Source organism: Homo sapiens, chromosome 8 (genome assembly GCF_000001405.40).
Source record: "Homo sapiens chromosome 8, GRCh38.p14 Primary Assembly".
In the NCBI taxonomy this organism is placed as follows: Eukaryota; Metazoa; Chordata; class Mammalia; order Primates; family Hominidae; genus Homo; species Homo sapiens.
The window spans coordinates 23,839,920-23,856,817 of NC_000008.11; the positions used below are offsets into that span (position 1 = coordinate 23,839,920).

At 42.8% G+C, this 16,898-nt stretch overlaps 1 protein-coding gene across 1 annotated transcript; it reads right to left on the reverse strand.

The window, feature by feature from the left end:
* On the reverse strand, window positions 2,010-14,887 carry STC1 (stanniocalcin 1). Its single transcript, NM_003155.3, has 4 exons — window positions 14,487-14,887; window positions 12,323-12,465; window positions 11,401-11,612; window positions 2,010-5,121 (listed from the first exon to the last, which is right to left on the reverse strand). Exons 1-4 carry the CDS (start codon window positions 14,602-14,604, stop codon window positions 4,851-4,853), a joined length of 744 nt encoding a protein of 247 aa, NP_003146.1. The 5' UTR covers window positions 14,605-14,887; the 3' UTR covers window positions 2,010-4,850.

Consider the following 16,898-nt stretch of genomic DNA (forward strand, 5'->3'; position numbering starts at 1 on the left):
AAATATGATGGAGCTTGACTTGCAGGTGGATATAGTCTCTCTGTGTTCTAGCTCTCTAACACAATGCTTTGCATAGGTCAGGCTAATATCTAACCATGTTTGTTGGTGAGTCTTTTGTTGCTCAGATTAGCAGTTTTCTCTACTAAAACTACAAAAATTAGCTGGGCATAGTGGTGGGCACCTGTAATTCCAGCTACTCCAGAGGCTGAGGCAGGAGAATCGCTTGAACCCGGGAGGCGGAGGTTGCAGTGAGCTGAGATCTCACCACTGCACTCTAGCCTGGGTGACAGAGTGAGACTCTGTCTCAAACAAACAAACAAAAAAACAGATTTATAAAATCTTAATTAAATAATAATGTTTGGTGACCTACAAAAGGAAAAAGTCAGAAAAACATTCTTCATCCAAAATGGTACCTCAATACTCACAGTGAGGGTGAGAGTAGAATCTAAGTGATGGGAATAACTTTAATGTAAATGGTGAGAGTTACATGTATTGAGGGCTCGAGGAATTCTATTCTTTGGGTACTTGCTATATGGTAGACACTATTTTAAGTCCTTTATATGTAACACATTGAATTCTCAGTTACTTTTGGAACTAAGGCCTACTATTTGTCCCTATTTTGTAGGGGCATTTTCATAAATGAAAAAAACTAAAGTGTGAAGATATGAGACACTTGGCCCAAGGCCACAGAAATGGTAGAGGAACTAAGGTTTAAACTCAGTTTATACAAATCCCAGGTCTGTTTTTTTTTTTTTAAACACTATACTACAGTGCAGCATGCAGTCTCTCTGTATAAATAAATATTTATAGGAGACTATGGATGAAGGATAATAATAAAAGAAATGTGCTCTTTTTCCTTGGCCAGGTCAGAGTAAAGCAAGTGCAGTACGTATTTGGCCCTTAAGTGACAATTCATGTACTATTTATTAGTTGCTTTGGGCATAACTGAACTTGGGAAAATGCAATTTGGAGCTAGAAATGAATGATGTTGAGAAAAATGCCCCCATTTGAATTTAAAATATGGGAAAAATTCACTAATATTTAATTGTGAAGATAACCTTCACAATTAAAGGTGTCTCTTATATAAGGTGTCTCTTGAAAAAAATTATACCACCGAAGCTCCCCTTTTTATGTGACCAAACTCATAAGCATCCTTCAAGACCCAGCTGTCATTCTGTTGTGAAGTCTTTGACCATTTTCTGAGATAGGGAGCTTTTGCTCTCATTGTCGCAACTTGTATGATAACAGCTGACCCTCGTTGAGCATAATCGTATATTGGGAATATTGTAAGCAGTTCACTTGTTTTATTTCCCTGTAGCAGCTCTGTGAGATGACTGTCACAATCCCCATTTTACGGAGGGAGAAATTGATGTGTTTTGAGATTAAGAAACTCTTCTGACATCATGTGGTTAATGAGTGACAGAGACTGAATTCAAATCTTTTGTTTTAACTGCAGAGCTATCTGCCTTCCTTGTCACACTGATTCAGTTGTCTTTTTCCCCCTCCTCCAACTCTTTCTAAATCATTCATTTAAAGTATTGAAGATGCTATTTTAGCGTTGGGAACACACTGGTGACCAAGCACGCGCTTCTCCCCATCATGCTTTCAGTCTGAGTGAAGGATGGAGAAAAAAAATCTTCCAAAAAGAGACAATAGCATAAATAAAAGACCTGGAAGGGACAGATCCCAATCATTCCCAGAACTGCCTATGTGGTGGGAGCGTAGAGGTCACTGAACAGAAAGAAAGTTGGGTCTTACAGTTGAGCAGCCTGTAGACCTTAAAGCTTCTTCCAACTTTGTAAGGAGTTTGGGATACCATCAGTGAGAATAATGGGAGTCACTCAATGTTTTTTAAAAAACTTAGGAAATGTTGACTTAAACAATATGTCAAATTTACATATTGACAATTAGTGACTTTAAAGAAACCAACCAGTCTGTGGTTCATGTTCAGAAATTCTCATTCAATAAGTTTTTCAAGAATAACAATGAAAGACATGGGGGGAAACCAATAAAACGTAACACTTTATTATTATTTTTATCTTAGAAGGAATTCACCAAAGGCTTCATATTATGCTATGGCATCTTTAATTATAAAAATAAGCAAATAAAATAACTTGCATCTGTCATTACCATGATATGTTTCATAACCTTTATATGCACATGGAGCTTAAAAATGTAATTTAACAATAAATAATGACATATACCAGATATGCTCACTGTTTATTCCAGTACTCAGCCAAAAACCTAAATATCATTTAAATTATAAATACATAATGCAAATATAATGGCACAAAAATGTCTAAAGTGCAACCAAATCACAAGAGAAGAATCATGCAAACTGGTCTAGGTCAGCCCCCGAATCACTCTGCAGCAAACACAAGACGAAGCTTTGGAAGTTTAAGGGGGAATTGGAGGGAGTAGGGTGGGGGAAAGAGAAGCAAAAAACTAGCAACATTGTGAGAACTGCTTCTTTCTGTATGTGTAGATATATGTATTGTAGATACATATATAGATATCATCGTGGGGAGAAAAGGGGGGGTACCACGGTTTGAAGAGGTCACAGCCAAAAAAAAAAAAAAAAAAAAAGAAAAGAAAAAAGGAAATCTACTGAACTGAAGAAAGAGAGAAATTTGCTAGGAATACTCATGAACTACTTGTCGCATTGGGGTCCTGGCTTAGTTGGGTTTGCAAAATGGACACAACACACAAACTTTAATAGCTTTTCTGATTCAGAGAAGTCAGCCTTGCCTGGGGGTGGGAAGTGTGGGAGGGAGGGGAAGAGTCTAACTTAGAATATGGTCTACCTGATTTCCAAGAGGCTAAGGCAGTGTCCATAAGTTTGGGGACCTGGGGATGGGACAGTTCTGAGTATAAAAATGCCCTTAACAATCTGATGTCAGCACGCTTAGAGGCTGTGTGGGGACAAAGGCAGCAATGTTTGTGCTGCTGCTGCTGCTGCTGGGTCTGCTGCAATTGCTCTTGGTCCTTGAGCAGCACGTTACTGGTTTTAAAGGCTTTATGGTAAAGTTGTATTGCTTTTCATTTTTCTGGAGATGTGCCCTCTCTCCTCCCACCAGGATCCCTATCACTCGATTTGGTCAAATCTTGAGTTTAGCCTAGTGAGAGTCAAGCACCAATAGTTTCTACCTAAGCGAGTTTGGAGTGGCCCCTGCAGTCCTACCCCTCCTCCCTCTCTTCCTCTCTTGACATTGACCTTTGGTGGGCAGTGACGCTCATAAGGGACTGTTGGGTTCAAGGACAGTGACCCTGAGAAACTACTGTTGTTCATAGATAGGTTAGTCGTTTGACTTTGGTGGTCGCCATCTTGTAAACATCATGGCAGAAATGATCAAACCACCAGCTCTTTTTCCCTCTTTCTTTCTTTTTTTTTTCTTTTTTTCTATTTTTTTACGATCCTACAGAGATGGTCCAGCTGCCAGGACTACTTTGGCAGGCAGCGTGCTACAGGACGAAAATGTAAGAGAAGTCTATTAAGGCTGGACAGCCCAGGGTTATTTATACTCTCTCAGCCCCAAGTCCCCCGGACTAAAGACCTAAAGGCTGATTGACTCATTCCTGATTGATTTAATGGAAAGTCTCCCACCCCATCATCATTTGCCAGAGTACCAGGCACCGATGAAAGGGGACGAGTAAAGAACTGCCACTTCCTAATGTATAGTAGGCCTTATCACACTGTAAGTGGTCCAAGCCCATAGGGATGCTCTTTTTGGTTCCTGGAATTTCCAGTTGGATGTGACAGAGATCTTTCAGTATAGGTCTAAGTCAAGAGTAGCCTCTGGGTTGAGGTGGGCTGGGAGATTAACATCTTACCTGGGGTCCTTCAGATAAACCTGTTGGTTTTTCCTGTCTCATACAGGCCCATCTTAAGTTTTGATGTTGAATTAAAACTACTTCTACCCCCTTAGTTATAAAAAAGGCCACAAGGAGCATTTATGTGGATATCTGGAAGTGAGATAGTTATTCCATTCCCAGGAAAAGAAAAATAAAGCTAAGTTACAAAACTAAATCTATATGCAATAAAGTTATTATATACTGCTTTGTTTAAGCAGAGTCCTCTGGAATTTATGTACAGTACATTAGTTTTCAGCTATTTATATTCCACAGTTAGACCTTAAGATTCTCTGGTTTTAAGACAATTGTTAAAGATACTTTTAAAGCTCTGAGCAGTTACAGTACGTAAAGATGTTAGCTTTTTGTTTTTCATTAGATGCAAGAAGATGCAGGCTCAAAGTCTGGTTGGACAGCCAGGCTCAAGCAATTTGGTAAATGTGTCGGAAAGAAAATTAGACATTGGAGGATCAAGACCATAAGACACTAGCTCATTAGAGATCAAGAATTCAAATGTGACATTCATATTCGTCCATGGCCAGCACAGATTCATAACACGAATTCCATTTAACATCTTTATGAGCATTTAAGACATGCATTTAAATAAAGTTTCCTTATCAGCTAACTCTACTGGGGCAACCGTTCTAAAGGGATCCACATCTTCAAATTACAATGGCTGGAGAGTTACATGAATGTTTTGTGTTTGGGGGTGGTCTCAGGGGAGCAGGGGAAAAACATGGCAGAGGAAGTTGGTAAAAGAGGGTACTTTCTCCTGAGGAGAGGCAGAATGGTCACATGGATTTTGTTGGTGGGAATGCTGCCATTGCAGAATGTTGGGATATTGATTACAGAAGCCTAGTTTCATGCAATTTTCTTTAAGGGGGATAGAAAATAGGAACTACTTTAAAAAAATCAAACCAGGCACAGTACACTCAAAACTGGTGTGTCAACACCCCTAAAATGATACTAGTTTGGTGAGGTTGTGAATAACCTCTCCCTGGTTATGCACTCTCATGGGATGTGCGTTTGATGTGGGAGGGAGAGTCCTCCTCACCTCGGAGGTTCCTGAGGAGGACTTTCAGCTTCTGCGGCTCATTGGTGCGTCTCCTGTTGAAGTCAGCTCGTGGGTGTGTTTGGGCACAGTGGTCTGTCTGCAGGATGTGGAAGAGGCTGGCCATGTTAGGCCCAATTTTCTCCATCAGGCTGTCTCTGATTGTGCTGACTGTGTCTTCATCACATTCCAGCAGGCTTCGGACAAGTCTGTTATAGTATCTGCATCAAGAAAGAGAGTGCATATGGTGGTCACCCAGTGAGAGCCCGGCGAGACCCAGGCTTTCACCCGGGCTCTAGCCAACACGAGTCCCTAATGGCCTGACCATGCAAACATCAATAGTTCATCAGCTGAAGGTGGCTTTTGCTCTCTAACCCTTGTGCCATGTCACCCTAGTTTCAATGCATCTGCTCCTAGGGTTTACCACACAATGCAAGACAGATCTTCATGTTTAGAGTTGAGGAGATTTAGATCACACTTTGAAGAGCAGGCTGACTGTGGTGACTGACATTTTTAGAAACAGAATTACAGAGCTAGCTGGGACCACAGAGACCATTTGGTGACTAGTTCAACTCTCATTTTGTAGAGAAGAAACTAAGGTGGATGAGGTGAAGCAAATTAGAATGAAGTGAGTCCAATGCTCATCACTGAGATTAGTAGCCATTGTACATGCATGTGTAATTATTTTGATGCTTTTTTGTAATTTTCCTTTTTTTGGTGGTGTGTGGGCACAGGTGTGTGTGTGTGTGTGTGTATGCAGATCTGTGCATCTTCTGATGAAACTTCTGTCTAAGGCCCCCTCTTCTGTGTGCCATGCATTTTTCTACAAAATCTAATGCCCTTATCACATACTTGGACAGCCCTGATAAAAGATATTGACTGACTCCATCTTCAGCCCTCCTTCAAAGGTATATTGTAGTCAGAAGGCCAAATCCTAGGCAAGAAGTCTATTTAAATGGAAATATTGGTGGTTTTTAAGGGTTCATGCTACTATAATTCATGAATCCTTCTTCTACTATACCAGAGTTTGCTAACCTCTTCCCTTTTTGGATATTTATAGATCTTTGTTTGCCATCACATAGGCCAGCATTTGATGGTTTTGTGATGGCTTTCTTTCGCTGACTAGACTGTAAGCTTACTGAAGGCAGGATTTGTGTCCTTCTTTGTATTCCTTATGGCCCGGTGCCATCGTGCTACATTGCCTGATCACTGCACATTTGTTGATTTATTTTGCAGCCACTAAGGAAATGGAGTTTTAAGAATATAATTCTCTCCAATAAGTAGTGATTCCCAGAAGAAAACTTATCTGTAGTTTTAGTAAATTTTACCAAAACCCCTTGTGTTTGGTATCAGTTACCTTCATCTTTGCAGCGAATTCTTTAAATACCCCCAAGCAATGTAGCTAAGCTTTGTGGCTCAGAAAGGATTAAACTGTCTAATATTTAGGGCATATCAATGACTTGTCCTGTTATTTGGGAAGACAGTTCAGGTATTATCCAATTTAGACTGGGATGCATTTGGTCCATTTTGTAGTCGCAGTTGAGTTGTCAAAACCCATTACCTCTGTGTTCGCTAATAAGAGACTCAGTGACAGTGACCTGCAGTATTTACATGGAGAGAACTTTTTCTCAGAGGAGCCCAAGGATCTCTGGGGCCACCAGGTCTTCCGTGAAAAGAAACCTGTTTATTTTTAACTCACCAAACAGTGCACAGGATCAAACATCTTTCTAGAATAACTTAATCCCCCAGAGAGGTTATTTCAAAGATGTGTGGTAAATAGCATGGAACGTGGGTAATGAGGTGATATGGTCACCCTTCTGTGGCACAGCAGAAGGAAGCTGGGGACTGAGAGGCAAGTGCAGTGTCTTGGTTGCTGACACAGGCCTGGTGAAACCCTTCCCTCCAGGGAGAATTATATCCAGCTGTGGTCAAAACTGGGACTCTCTGGCACAGAGGAACATTGTCCAACTCTTTGGAATTACAAAGCACATGAGTCAAAGGAGATCTCCTTTGGATGGGGAAATGAGGAGAAAACCAGTTTTGGAGAAACATAGAATAAACAACTTTGCACCAGCAGCTTCTGACATCTACACACCCATATAGATCTCCAGGCATCACCTGGCTCTTGGGCTCTGCTAGGACCTGGGTCTTTGGATGGCTGTGTCTATTTCAGAGGGTGATTAGATCCTGGTGGGTGGTTTCTGATCTCCCATCCCTCCAATAAGGACTTTATAACTTAGAAGTTAACCCTTCCATTTCTAGAAAGAGCTGTTCATGCCAGATGAGTCCCCAGATAGGCTGGAAAATACAATCTTTCCCTAGAAAGGGATAAAAAGAAATGCTAGTTCTTCCTTAGAAGGACTTGAAAGCTCTTGTCTGGACAAAGAAGTCTAGTACCCTTAAGGTAATTAAGCTTCTGCAGCCAGCTTTGCAGCTTCAGGGCCATACATTTCCTTCAGGCCCCACTTTGTCAGAGTGCCTGCTCTTTTTTGGAGGGTTTCTACCTTTCTACCTTTACTGTTGCTTTGTCTGCTGGCTCAGATATGACACCTGACCTTGGTGTTTCTTGACAGTGACCCTTGCCAGCCTGAGGGCTCTTAGTGAGAACCACCCACCCCCACTGGAATCTACCCTATTTCCCTCATGGGGCTTTTGTTAACTCAGCAAGGGCAGGCTGAGAAAGCTCTTTAGAATATAAAACAAAGTCCATGTCTCCATTAGTAGTTCTTCAAAGGCTGGAAAATTTGTCAGGATTATTTGATGTCACCAGTTTCTCAGTATGAGCAATAGGTTAACCAGTGCCTGTCCAGTAAGGGCTGGAATAGCCATTTACCTCTGGGATCATGCTTGCCAATGACATAGCCCTTTCCTGTGTCACTAAGTGAGATGGATTATTTAAGAGGTTGTGTCTCCAGCAAGAGTTGACTTAGCAATCGTCACCTATTTAGTGAGCACCTTCTTGTGCTATGGTCTTATAGTTCCTATAGCTATTGGTAGGATGTGTCCATCCTTTTGGGAGAGAAAGGACGCAAATTTAATTGTGGACTACCACGGTGCACATATATTCAATTGTGCTTGGTATTCTATTTTTGGGTTGTGGCTATTTCCTGCAGATTTTGCTGGCTGCCATTTTTGAAGTAGAAATCAAATAGCTTGGCTCAAGGCCACATGAGTTCTAAGCCCAACTTAGTTATTCACAAGCTGTGTGACCTTCAGCAGGTCACTCCACTCTCTGAGCCTTTATTCTTTAATCAGTAAAATGAGGCAGTTAGTCTAGTTAACCTCAGCAGTCATCTCCAACTATGACATTCTATGTTTCTAGGGATTCAATACACATTTTTCTTCTCAATTTTACAAAAAATAGAGCAGCTCTGCTTACATCCCCTCCTTTGCAGTGGTAGTTAGGACTGCTTAAGAAGATTCCTTTCTTGGCTGGGCATGGTGGCTCATGCCTGCAGTCCCAGCACTTTGGGAGGCCAAGATGGGTGGATCACCTGAGGTCAGGAGTTCAAGACCAGCCCGGCCAACATGATGAAACCCTGTCTCTACTAAAAATACAAAAATTAGCTGGGCGTGGTGGTGAGTGCTTGTAATCCCAGCTACTCTGGAGGCTGAGGCAGGAGAATTGCTTGAACCCAGGAGATGGAGGTTGCAGTGAACTGAGATCTCACCACTGTACTCCAGCCTGGGCAACAGAGCGATACTCTGTCAAAAAAAAAAAAAAAAAAAAAAAAAAAGAAGAAGAAGATTCCTTTCTTTATCTTTATGGAGGATGGAGGAGATGTGTTGGAAAGACTTGGTGGACTAAGTGTTCTGATCACCCAGCCCGAAAGGACCTTTTTAATTATGTTTCTTTTTTCTCACTTTGAAAATTCCATCCCTGACCTTTTTTTTTTTGATAAAGAATAAGATCAGATATTCTCCATAGCTACTGTTTCAGCCATGCTTACCCAAATACACACATACTGCCTAGGAACGTTCTGTGTGAGGGTTTATAAATAGTCCTTTGTTTCCCTTGATCAATATTATTCTTCTGTTTCCTGTTCCCTATCCATGCCCTAGAGAGTTGGAAGCTTTGTCAGTTTTCCCACTCTGGATCTGGGTTGGTCTAAGTGGTTCCCAAGCCTCGCACCGCCCTGCTGGCCTGATCAATTTTGCCTGCTTCCCACAGGGTTGAAAGCATAGTCTGCAAATTCAGGCAGGTGGAAACTCCAGCTACCTCTTTACCCTCTAGGTGCATTTCTGTCATGGAAAATCCCCTTGTTCTGGCTCCTGGTCCAGTCACAGGCTTTTGGATTCTCCCAGCCCCAAATCTCATGCTAGATAAGTCACAGGAAGGTGGAATGAACCTGTAACTACTTCCTCTTGCAATTCTGTGCCAATTGGCACTGACTTAGCGTGTGTCTATGGTGGGATAGAGGCTGGGAAAGCAGGATGTCTCAGGAAGGTGAGCAGCTTCAATGGAGCAAAGCAAGCCCAGCATGGAACCGGACATTTCTACAATCCTGAGCAGGAATAATATAGCCTGTTAAAGTGAAATTTTTGGAGAAAGGTTGCATGGAAGATTCCGGTTTTCAAGGGCTGGCCACATTTTTTTTTTCTCCAATTGACCTTTCCTAATGAGTCCCTAAGATGAAAGAGGGAGATAAGAAGACTTTCTTTGTGACCATTTTCTAAAGGTGTTGAAAATAAGGCACTGATTAGAAGAAATAATAGCCTGGTTAAAAATTTACTAGTCTCTTCTTAGATAAATTGGGACCTCTAGTCGAGTAGCTATATAGTTCTGCCTAAAGACCTCTCTGCCTTTCTAATGGAAGATGCTACTTCAGATGAAATAGGGAGATTAGTATCGCCTCAAAATTGGAAATATGCCGTATTATAGATCATGATTTGTCACAGAATCCTTAAGGATCTAAATTGTAATAGTGGCTTTGCTAATGTACCTCTCCCCCCACCCCTAACTACCACACAAACACATACTTTGTCCTTAGCCCCTGTCTGGCTAAGAATTCTTCATTTCTTTTCCTAATGGTGAAGGAAGTCTCCAATAATTAATCAGATCTCCCCTCCCCACCCTCTGCACCTGTTTCCTCTGTGCAATAAGAATCTTCCTAGGGGAAATTTAAAACCAAGAGTTATATAGAGACAGCCCACTTGAGAAAATGGTTGGATTTTTCTGTTCTGAGGAAACCATTTAGAACCCCATGATAAAGTCACTTCCAAGGACTAGAGAAGTGATTTTTACAAATTGATTTGTGGTTCTGAAGGGCACTCACCTGTAGTTAAGGGTGAAAAAGAAATTTTACACAGCGTTTGTGTTAGGCACCTTAGCCTTTCCCTAAGGAGGAACTACTTTTTTGTTGCATGTATGTACATGACTAAATCACTTGTAAGCCCCAGAGGGACTTGGCTGTTGCCACTGTCTTAAGAAGGGTGGTGGCACCTGGCTAGGAAATTAATCAGATAAGCCTGTGATAACTCTCAGGTGGTCAGAGTAACATGCAAAGCACTGATCATTGTGGATATGTGCAGATTTGAGTGGAGAGTCAAAGAATCATAGAAATTCAAGGCTGGGAGTCAAGTTTTTAGGCTGAGGGATATCACAGGGGGCTAAACTTGACCGGTCTGCACTGCCCCTGCCAGACCTCCACGCCAACCCCATTGGCATCTCTTAGTTCTTGCTGGGAACCTTTCCAGGCCACGCACATGAACTGAGGATGCCAGCTGTCTCATGTAACAGGAATTCACTCCTGGCTGGTAAAAACACTGAAAAGTACAATGCCCAGATGTTACTGTACTAGCTCAGTGGCCTTGGGTGGTGTTTGAATACTAAGATGAGAATGGGATCTGGACAGCCATAAAACACACTCATTCTAGGAAATCTTGGGCTAGAGGAATGGGATAACATAAGGCCTGGAAGGAAACCTGAAAATGGTCCAGTCCAGCCATTTTGCTTTTTACAAAGGAAATCTGAGCCCCAGGGAAGTGAGATGGCTTGCTCTGGGCTACCCAGTGAAATCTCTGACTGTGTTTGGGACTGATTTGAAATAGATGGAGACTTAAAATCTGCATTATGACATTTAACCAGAGGGCTTTTTTTTTTTTTTTTTTTTTTAATCATGGCCAATTGTGTTGTTGCACGGTCATGGTTTCAGCCAAATCTGATGTCTTAAAAGCTTGTTTCCAGAAACTTCACCATTCCCTTCAGGCTTATGGCAAAAAATGGTCAATGAAAGCACCCAGGGATGCTGCAGATGAGGCTGGCTTTCTATGAGCTGCATGAAAAGACTTTTCCTATAACAGTAGGGAAAAAAAAGCCCAAGCTGCTTAAACTGTCACAACCAATCACAAACATATTTTTTTCCTGCAAAAGCTGGGAAGACTGCAAGCTAAAATAAGAGCATGACTGTGGCAATTTAACCCTCCCTCCCAGTCTGGCTCTGCCAGCCAGCCACCTGCTCCCAGTCCCCTGATTGTGAAAAAGTAGACTCAGTTTGTACCTGTTGGAGAAGTGATTGGGCAGCTGGACGACCTCAGTGATGGCTTCAGGGTTCCGCTTGGCGATGCTGCACACATTCAGCTTGCTGTAGCACTCTTCCTGCACCTCAGCAATCATCCTTTGGAAAGTGGAGCACCTCCGAATGGCGAGGAAGACCTTGGAGGTGACCCCGTTGGCGATGCATTTTAAGCTCTCTTTGACGAATGCTTTTCCCTGCCATGGAGGAAGGACAAGAGGGAGGTCTTTAGCTTGACCTGACAAAGAGGATGGGCATATACATGGAGGAATTTAAGGGGGCTCATCTGGGCAACGTATCATGGCCATCTGCATATCCTTGCAATGAGAAGATTGCATGTCTCGGCTAAGGATTGAAAAAAAAAAAAGCCCTCTCCCCATCTCCCTGGATTCCCTTGAGAATTAAGCTCTACCGAAATGAAATTACAGAAAAAAAAGATGAACCGTGATCAACCATTCTGCAGCTTAAAAATAGTCGTAATCTGACTTCATATTCTTGAGATTGAGACTTTGAGAATTCAGATCAAAAGCTAGTATGCTAGGTCATGCAGAGAGAACTTCCTTGCTCTATGCACGTTTTTATGTCCTCTTACAGAGGAAAATCTTTTTGGCTTATTACCCCTGGCCTTATAAGACAGCCTCTACTAGCTCCTTAGAATCATGCATTAGAGTGAGTGGGGCGTGTCTTATACAGAACCTATTTCCTGGCCAGATGAGTGCCTCTGTGTGTGTGTGTGTGTGTGTGTGTGCATGCACACACTTGTGCATACACATGCTGAGATGGGAATTTAGAGTGGGGAAGCTGAGAAGCAGGGCTGGTTCCCTACAAGACTGGTTCCTAAGAACCATGGTCTAACACACTGTTAAAGACAAGCAGCCAGTGGGAGCAGGGGTCAAGGTTTTATTACCTGAGTGTCAAATTTAGCAGCGCTGTACAAGAAGGATTTACAGATGTCATACATCCCATCTGTGTCACAGGTGGAGTTTTCCAGGCATGCAAAAGCCCCGCAGCCGACCTGTAGAGCACTGTTGAGGCAACGAACCACTTCAGCTGAAAGAGACAAATCCATCCATTCTGGGTCAAACAGTGAGGAATGGCTGGGTGGGATCAAGTGGGTGCAGAGGTGAATTTCAAGGACATGAGGTCAGAAGAACTTATCCTAGGAATCTGTCATGAGGGGCAATTGATAGACCCATTTGATTGAGAAAGAGAGGATAGACAGGCTCCTTTTGTTTATGATTGCTGGAGTACATGATGGACAGGGAGGGAGTTCTCTGTTTCAGACACACGCTCCCTGTTTCACCATTACCTACAATTTTGGTGTCTGGAGAAGTGAGGCTCAAGTCTGGAAATGCACAGTGCCTTTAAGCCATTCCATAGAATCAAAGGTCATTGCTTAGCACTTGAAAGCATGGGAAGGAAGGAGACAGTGGCTAGTGGTCAGGTTTAAGAGGTAAAAGGGCCAGGGAATCCATCTAGCTTTGGAAAAATGCACTCCCGAGTAAAAAGCATGGGATTTTAGTCTAAATGGCAGAGAAGACTGTGCCAGGAGTCCACTTGGAGACCCTTCTGATTTCAGGCTTTTAACTTACCGTCATATTGGCAAAAAGAAATCTGATCCGTTCATGTTTCACCCCAACCCTCCACTAGGACAGTGCTTAGAGGTATGCATAATCTCTTTCATATTAAAAGCCTTTTAAAAAAGAAAGAAAGAAAGAAAGAAAGAAAGAAGAAACACAGGTGTGGAATAACCAGGCCAAGGCCTCCCTATGCAAGACTGGAAGAAAACCGCAAAAAACTTGCATGAGGCTTTCTACATTCTGGATAAGATCTCCCATAAAAGTAATTTTTCTCCCACAGAAGGGGGGTGTTCTGGCAGGCAGCTAGGCAAGGAATGATCTGCAGCCTTCATGCCATAGGATTCTCCTCTGAGATCAAAAGCATGGTTCAGTTAGTCTTCCCCACCCCCTCCCACCACCCGCAGCCTCTAGGATGTTACAAGTCATTTCCCTAATTATATATTTCCACGGGTTTAAATTATAACTTTGCTTTAAGCAGTTTTAATATGCATTAGGGCTGCTATTGTTTTAGGCAAGCTCGAATTGTGAATCACTGCATCTCTATAGCAACTAAGTACAAAAGGAAGTGAAGCAAAAGCCCTCCTCTCGGCAGGGACCTGTGCTCTTCCAAGGGGATCATCATCTGCAGCATTTTGACACCTGTGATCCGGTCTTTGCTGACAGTTGGAGGACAGAGGGCAGTATTGGAAGGGGAACAAGTGGAGCCAGAGAAGTCAAGAGGCAGAGGTGTCAATGCAGGCTTCCTAATGATTCTTTTCCTTCAGAAGCCAAGATAATGCACAATTAACTGCTCCAAGAGTCAAGACGAAAGTGAGACCTTACCCTTGGAGAAACAGCTGCTACGTTTCACAATTTTTTTTTTCTAGGGGCTCTCTGGCTACGGGCTGCAGGGACGACTGAATGGAGCCCTACAGAGCCAGGAGGGAGACAGGCAGCAGGGTTGGGGGTGGGATGTATAGGGTTTTCTCTGAATCCGCCCTGGATTTGTCAGACTTGAGGGCTATGGTTCTGAAAATCAGTCTGAAGAGGGAGCTTTTCTGTGTATTCTCTTAGGTAGAGAAGTCAAGAAGTGAAGAGGTAGAGTCTTAAGAGGAAAGGAAGAGGGACAGCATCAAACAAGCCAGGTCTTACCTTAGATCAGCTTCTGGAAAGTATAGAGAGCGCTTTGAAGCATGCCAACATTCAAGCCTTTCCTCCCCTCTCACCCCTCCCCCTCCAAGAGGGTACGTGCCAGATTTCAGGCAATCAGGCTAGGCTTATGCAATGAAATACCCTCAGCAGAGCGTCCAGCTTCTTCGTTTAGTTGCATGCAATTTATTAAACAAAGGAGCTCCACTGCCTAAGGCTATTGGATTACACTGGCAGTTTATTGCCATCAGGCATGAAGCACATTTATTATCAAGATCAGCCGTCACAGACACAGTTGCAAAAGGGAGAGGCAAATGAGGACAGCTCTTTGGGGGAGAAACCGCTCTTGGGTTTGCTGCTTACCTGAGTTTTGAGCCGCCACTCGGGATTTCCTGGGGCTCACAGAGTCATTCTGCTCCGCCTCATGGGTTGCAGAAGCACTGATCACCAGCACCAGAAGCACTGCTGAGTTTTGGAGCATTCTCTGAGAAGTTTCCGCTAAGTTGTTGGGTTTTTTTTTTTTCCTGCCCCCCTTTCCTCTTTCCCTCTCCTGGCTTGAGTGAAGATGTGGATCTGGATACACTGAAAGCTTAGGTGAGGATTTGATGAGGATTTTTTTTTGTTGTTGTTGCTGGTGATGCTGCTGCTGCCACCGGTGCCTCCGCTGCTGCTGCTGCTGCCGCCGCTGCTGCTGCTGCTGCCACCGCCGCTGCTGCTGCTGCTGCTGCAGTCGCTGCTTCTTGCACCTCTGGCTTTTGCAAACTGGGGGCCCAAGAGCTGCACCCAGGGATTTTATAGCCGTTCTTATCGGTCCTCAGGATCAAGGACCAATCAGGTCCCTCAACTGGTCTGGTGAGCCAATAAGAGGGCATGCAATTCAGCTGGAGCTTTTTGACTTCTTAGAAATATTTTCCAGCAAATTAAAAGTACCTGCTGCCAATGTTTTATATGTGTGTGTGACTGTGTGTGCAGAGATGTGTGAAAAAGCTATTTTCGTGGAAGTAAGAGATAACTCTGTATTGATTGAACTAAAGAAAAATCCTATAGAAATCTCTCCAAGTTGCTTTTTGAAATCTAGCCATCTTTTTTTCTAATGAGCCACTTGGGGGAAATGGATAGCAGGGGTATGGTGGGGAAATGTGATCTCTTTAGATGAGAACTTAACCTGCTTACAGCAGTTTTACTCTAATTTTAACAGCACATTCTCGGTTCTGTTTTGTAGGCTACAAATGCAATAACTCCCTATCTTCTCTGTGTGTACATGTTCACATGTCTATGATGCATTTTTGTTTGTATGTGGACATCCTGGGTTCTCACTCACACATTTGAGCCCTTGAGGGGGAATTTATGTGAGTGGAAAAGCCTTGGGGGACTGAGATATGACAGCTCAGAGCTGAAGCCTTAGTCCCCCTACTGATCAACCTATGACTCTGGCTAAGTCTTTTTACCTTGCCCCACCTCGTTTTCCCATCTGTAAAACGCCAAAGTTGGACTCTGACATTCTGTATACCTCTAAAATAATGTGATTCTTCAATAATCAAATCAACTTTGACTTCATCTTTTCAGTCACCAGCAAAATTGCATAGTCCAGGAGTGTTAGTTACCCCAGGTACACATGTGCACACCTGCACATACCACACTCAACAGGGAGACATCATGAATGCCTGAAAATTAATAATCTGTGTTCAAGCCCAGCAACTTTATAACCACTTTGAAACAATAAGCTGGCCAAAGCAAGACTAAACCTGCTGAATGGAAACCAGTTCATTTCTTGGGGAGAGGGGTAGGAAAAAAGGGGGCAGAATGGAAAGAAGGGGTAGAGAAAGACCAGAATGTGTAGGAGAGAAGAATGATAAGCTCTAGACTTAATAGGAAAATTGCACTGCAATCACAAATCATGCCTGGTATAGAAACTTATATTTTCTTATAAGTGAGTTGTAGGCAATGCTGAGGTTTGTCCCCAACATGTGAAGGAGGTTAATGAGCCAGAAGAGGACTTCTTAGGGTAGGAAGGTGGTGAAGGTATTATACAATAAAACCTTTAATAATTTTGGGGAAGTAGATGAGAAATGGCCACTGGTGATTCATACAGATTTGGGCAGGATAATCTTGCAGAGAAATGGGGCCAGTGGCTTTACTTTGCATCCTAAAACCTTCAAACAAAAGTTGAAGAAAGAGTGCCACCCCTGTTAACCACAAACTAAACCAAGTGTCAGCTCTGTGTATGTTGTGGGGTGATAGGGTGGTGGGGGGCGGGGGGGGGGGGGCGGCGGACGGTTCTGGGTGATGATAGCCTATCCCTCACAAAATAGGGTTGTTTGGTAAGTATGAAAGTTTGCTAGAAAAAGGAATAGAAGGAATAAAGGATACAGGAAATATCTAAAAGAAAGGAAGGGAATTTTCAGATTTACATTATATAACAAGAATACATTTTAATTTATATTAACAGGCAGTATTGGTATTTCTTTAGAACCTTCTGGGCTGAGTGCTAGGGGACAATGTGGGAGGATAAATGAGAAGACATAGAGAAGAAGGTAAGTTCATTATTCTTGTCCTGAAGGTACTTACAGGTGAGTTGGGAAGATGACCAGCCACAGTCATACTTCCTAAAGGTTCGGGATGTCAGGACCTCATATAGTAAGACACAGGCTCAGGCAGCACTGGCTGGAGATGGGGGGAAAGCTCTTGAGGGAAAGATCAGTGGGGAAAGATGTAAACTGCTGTTGTTGCTTTTTAAGAATTTAGGAAAAGCTATGCTATTTCATTTTTAAAAAA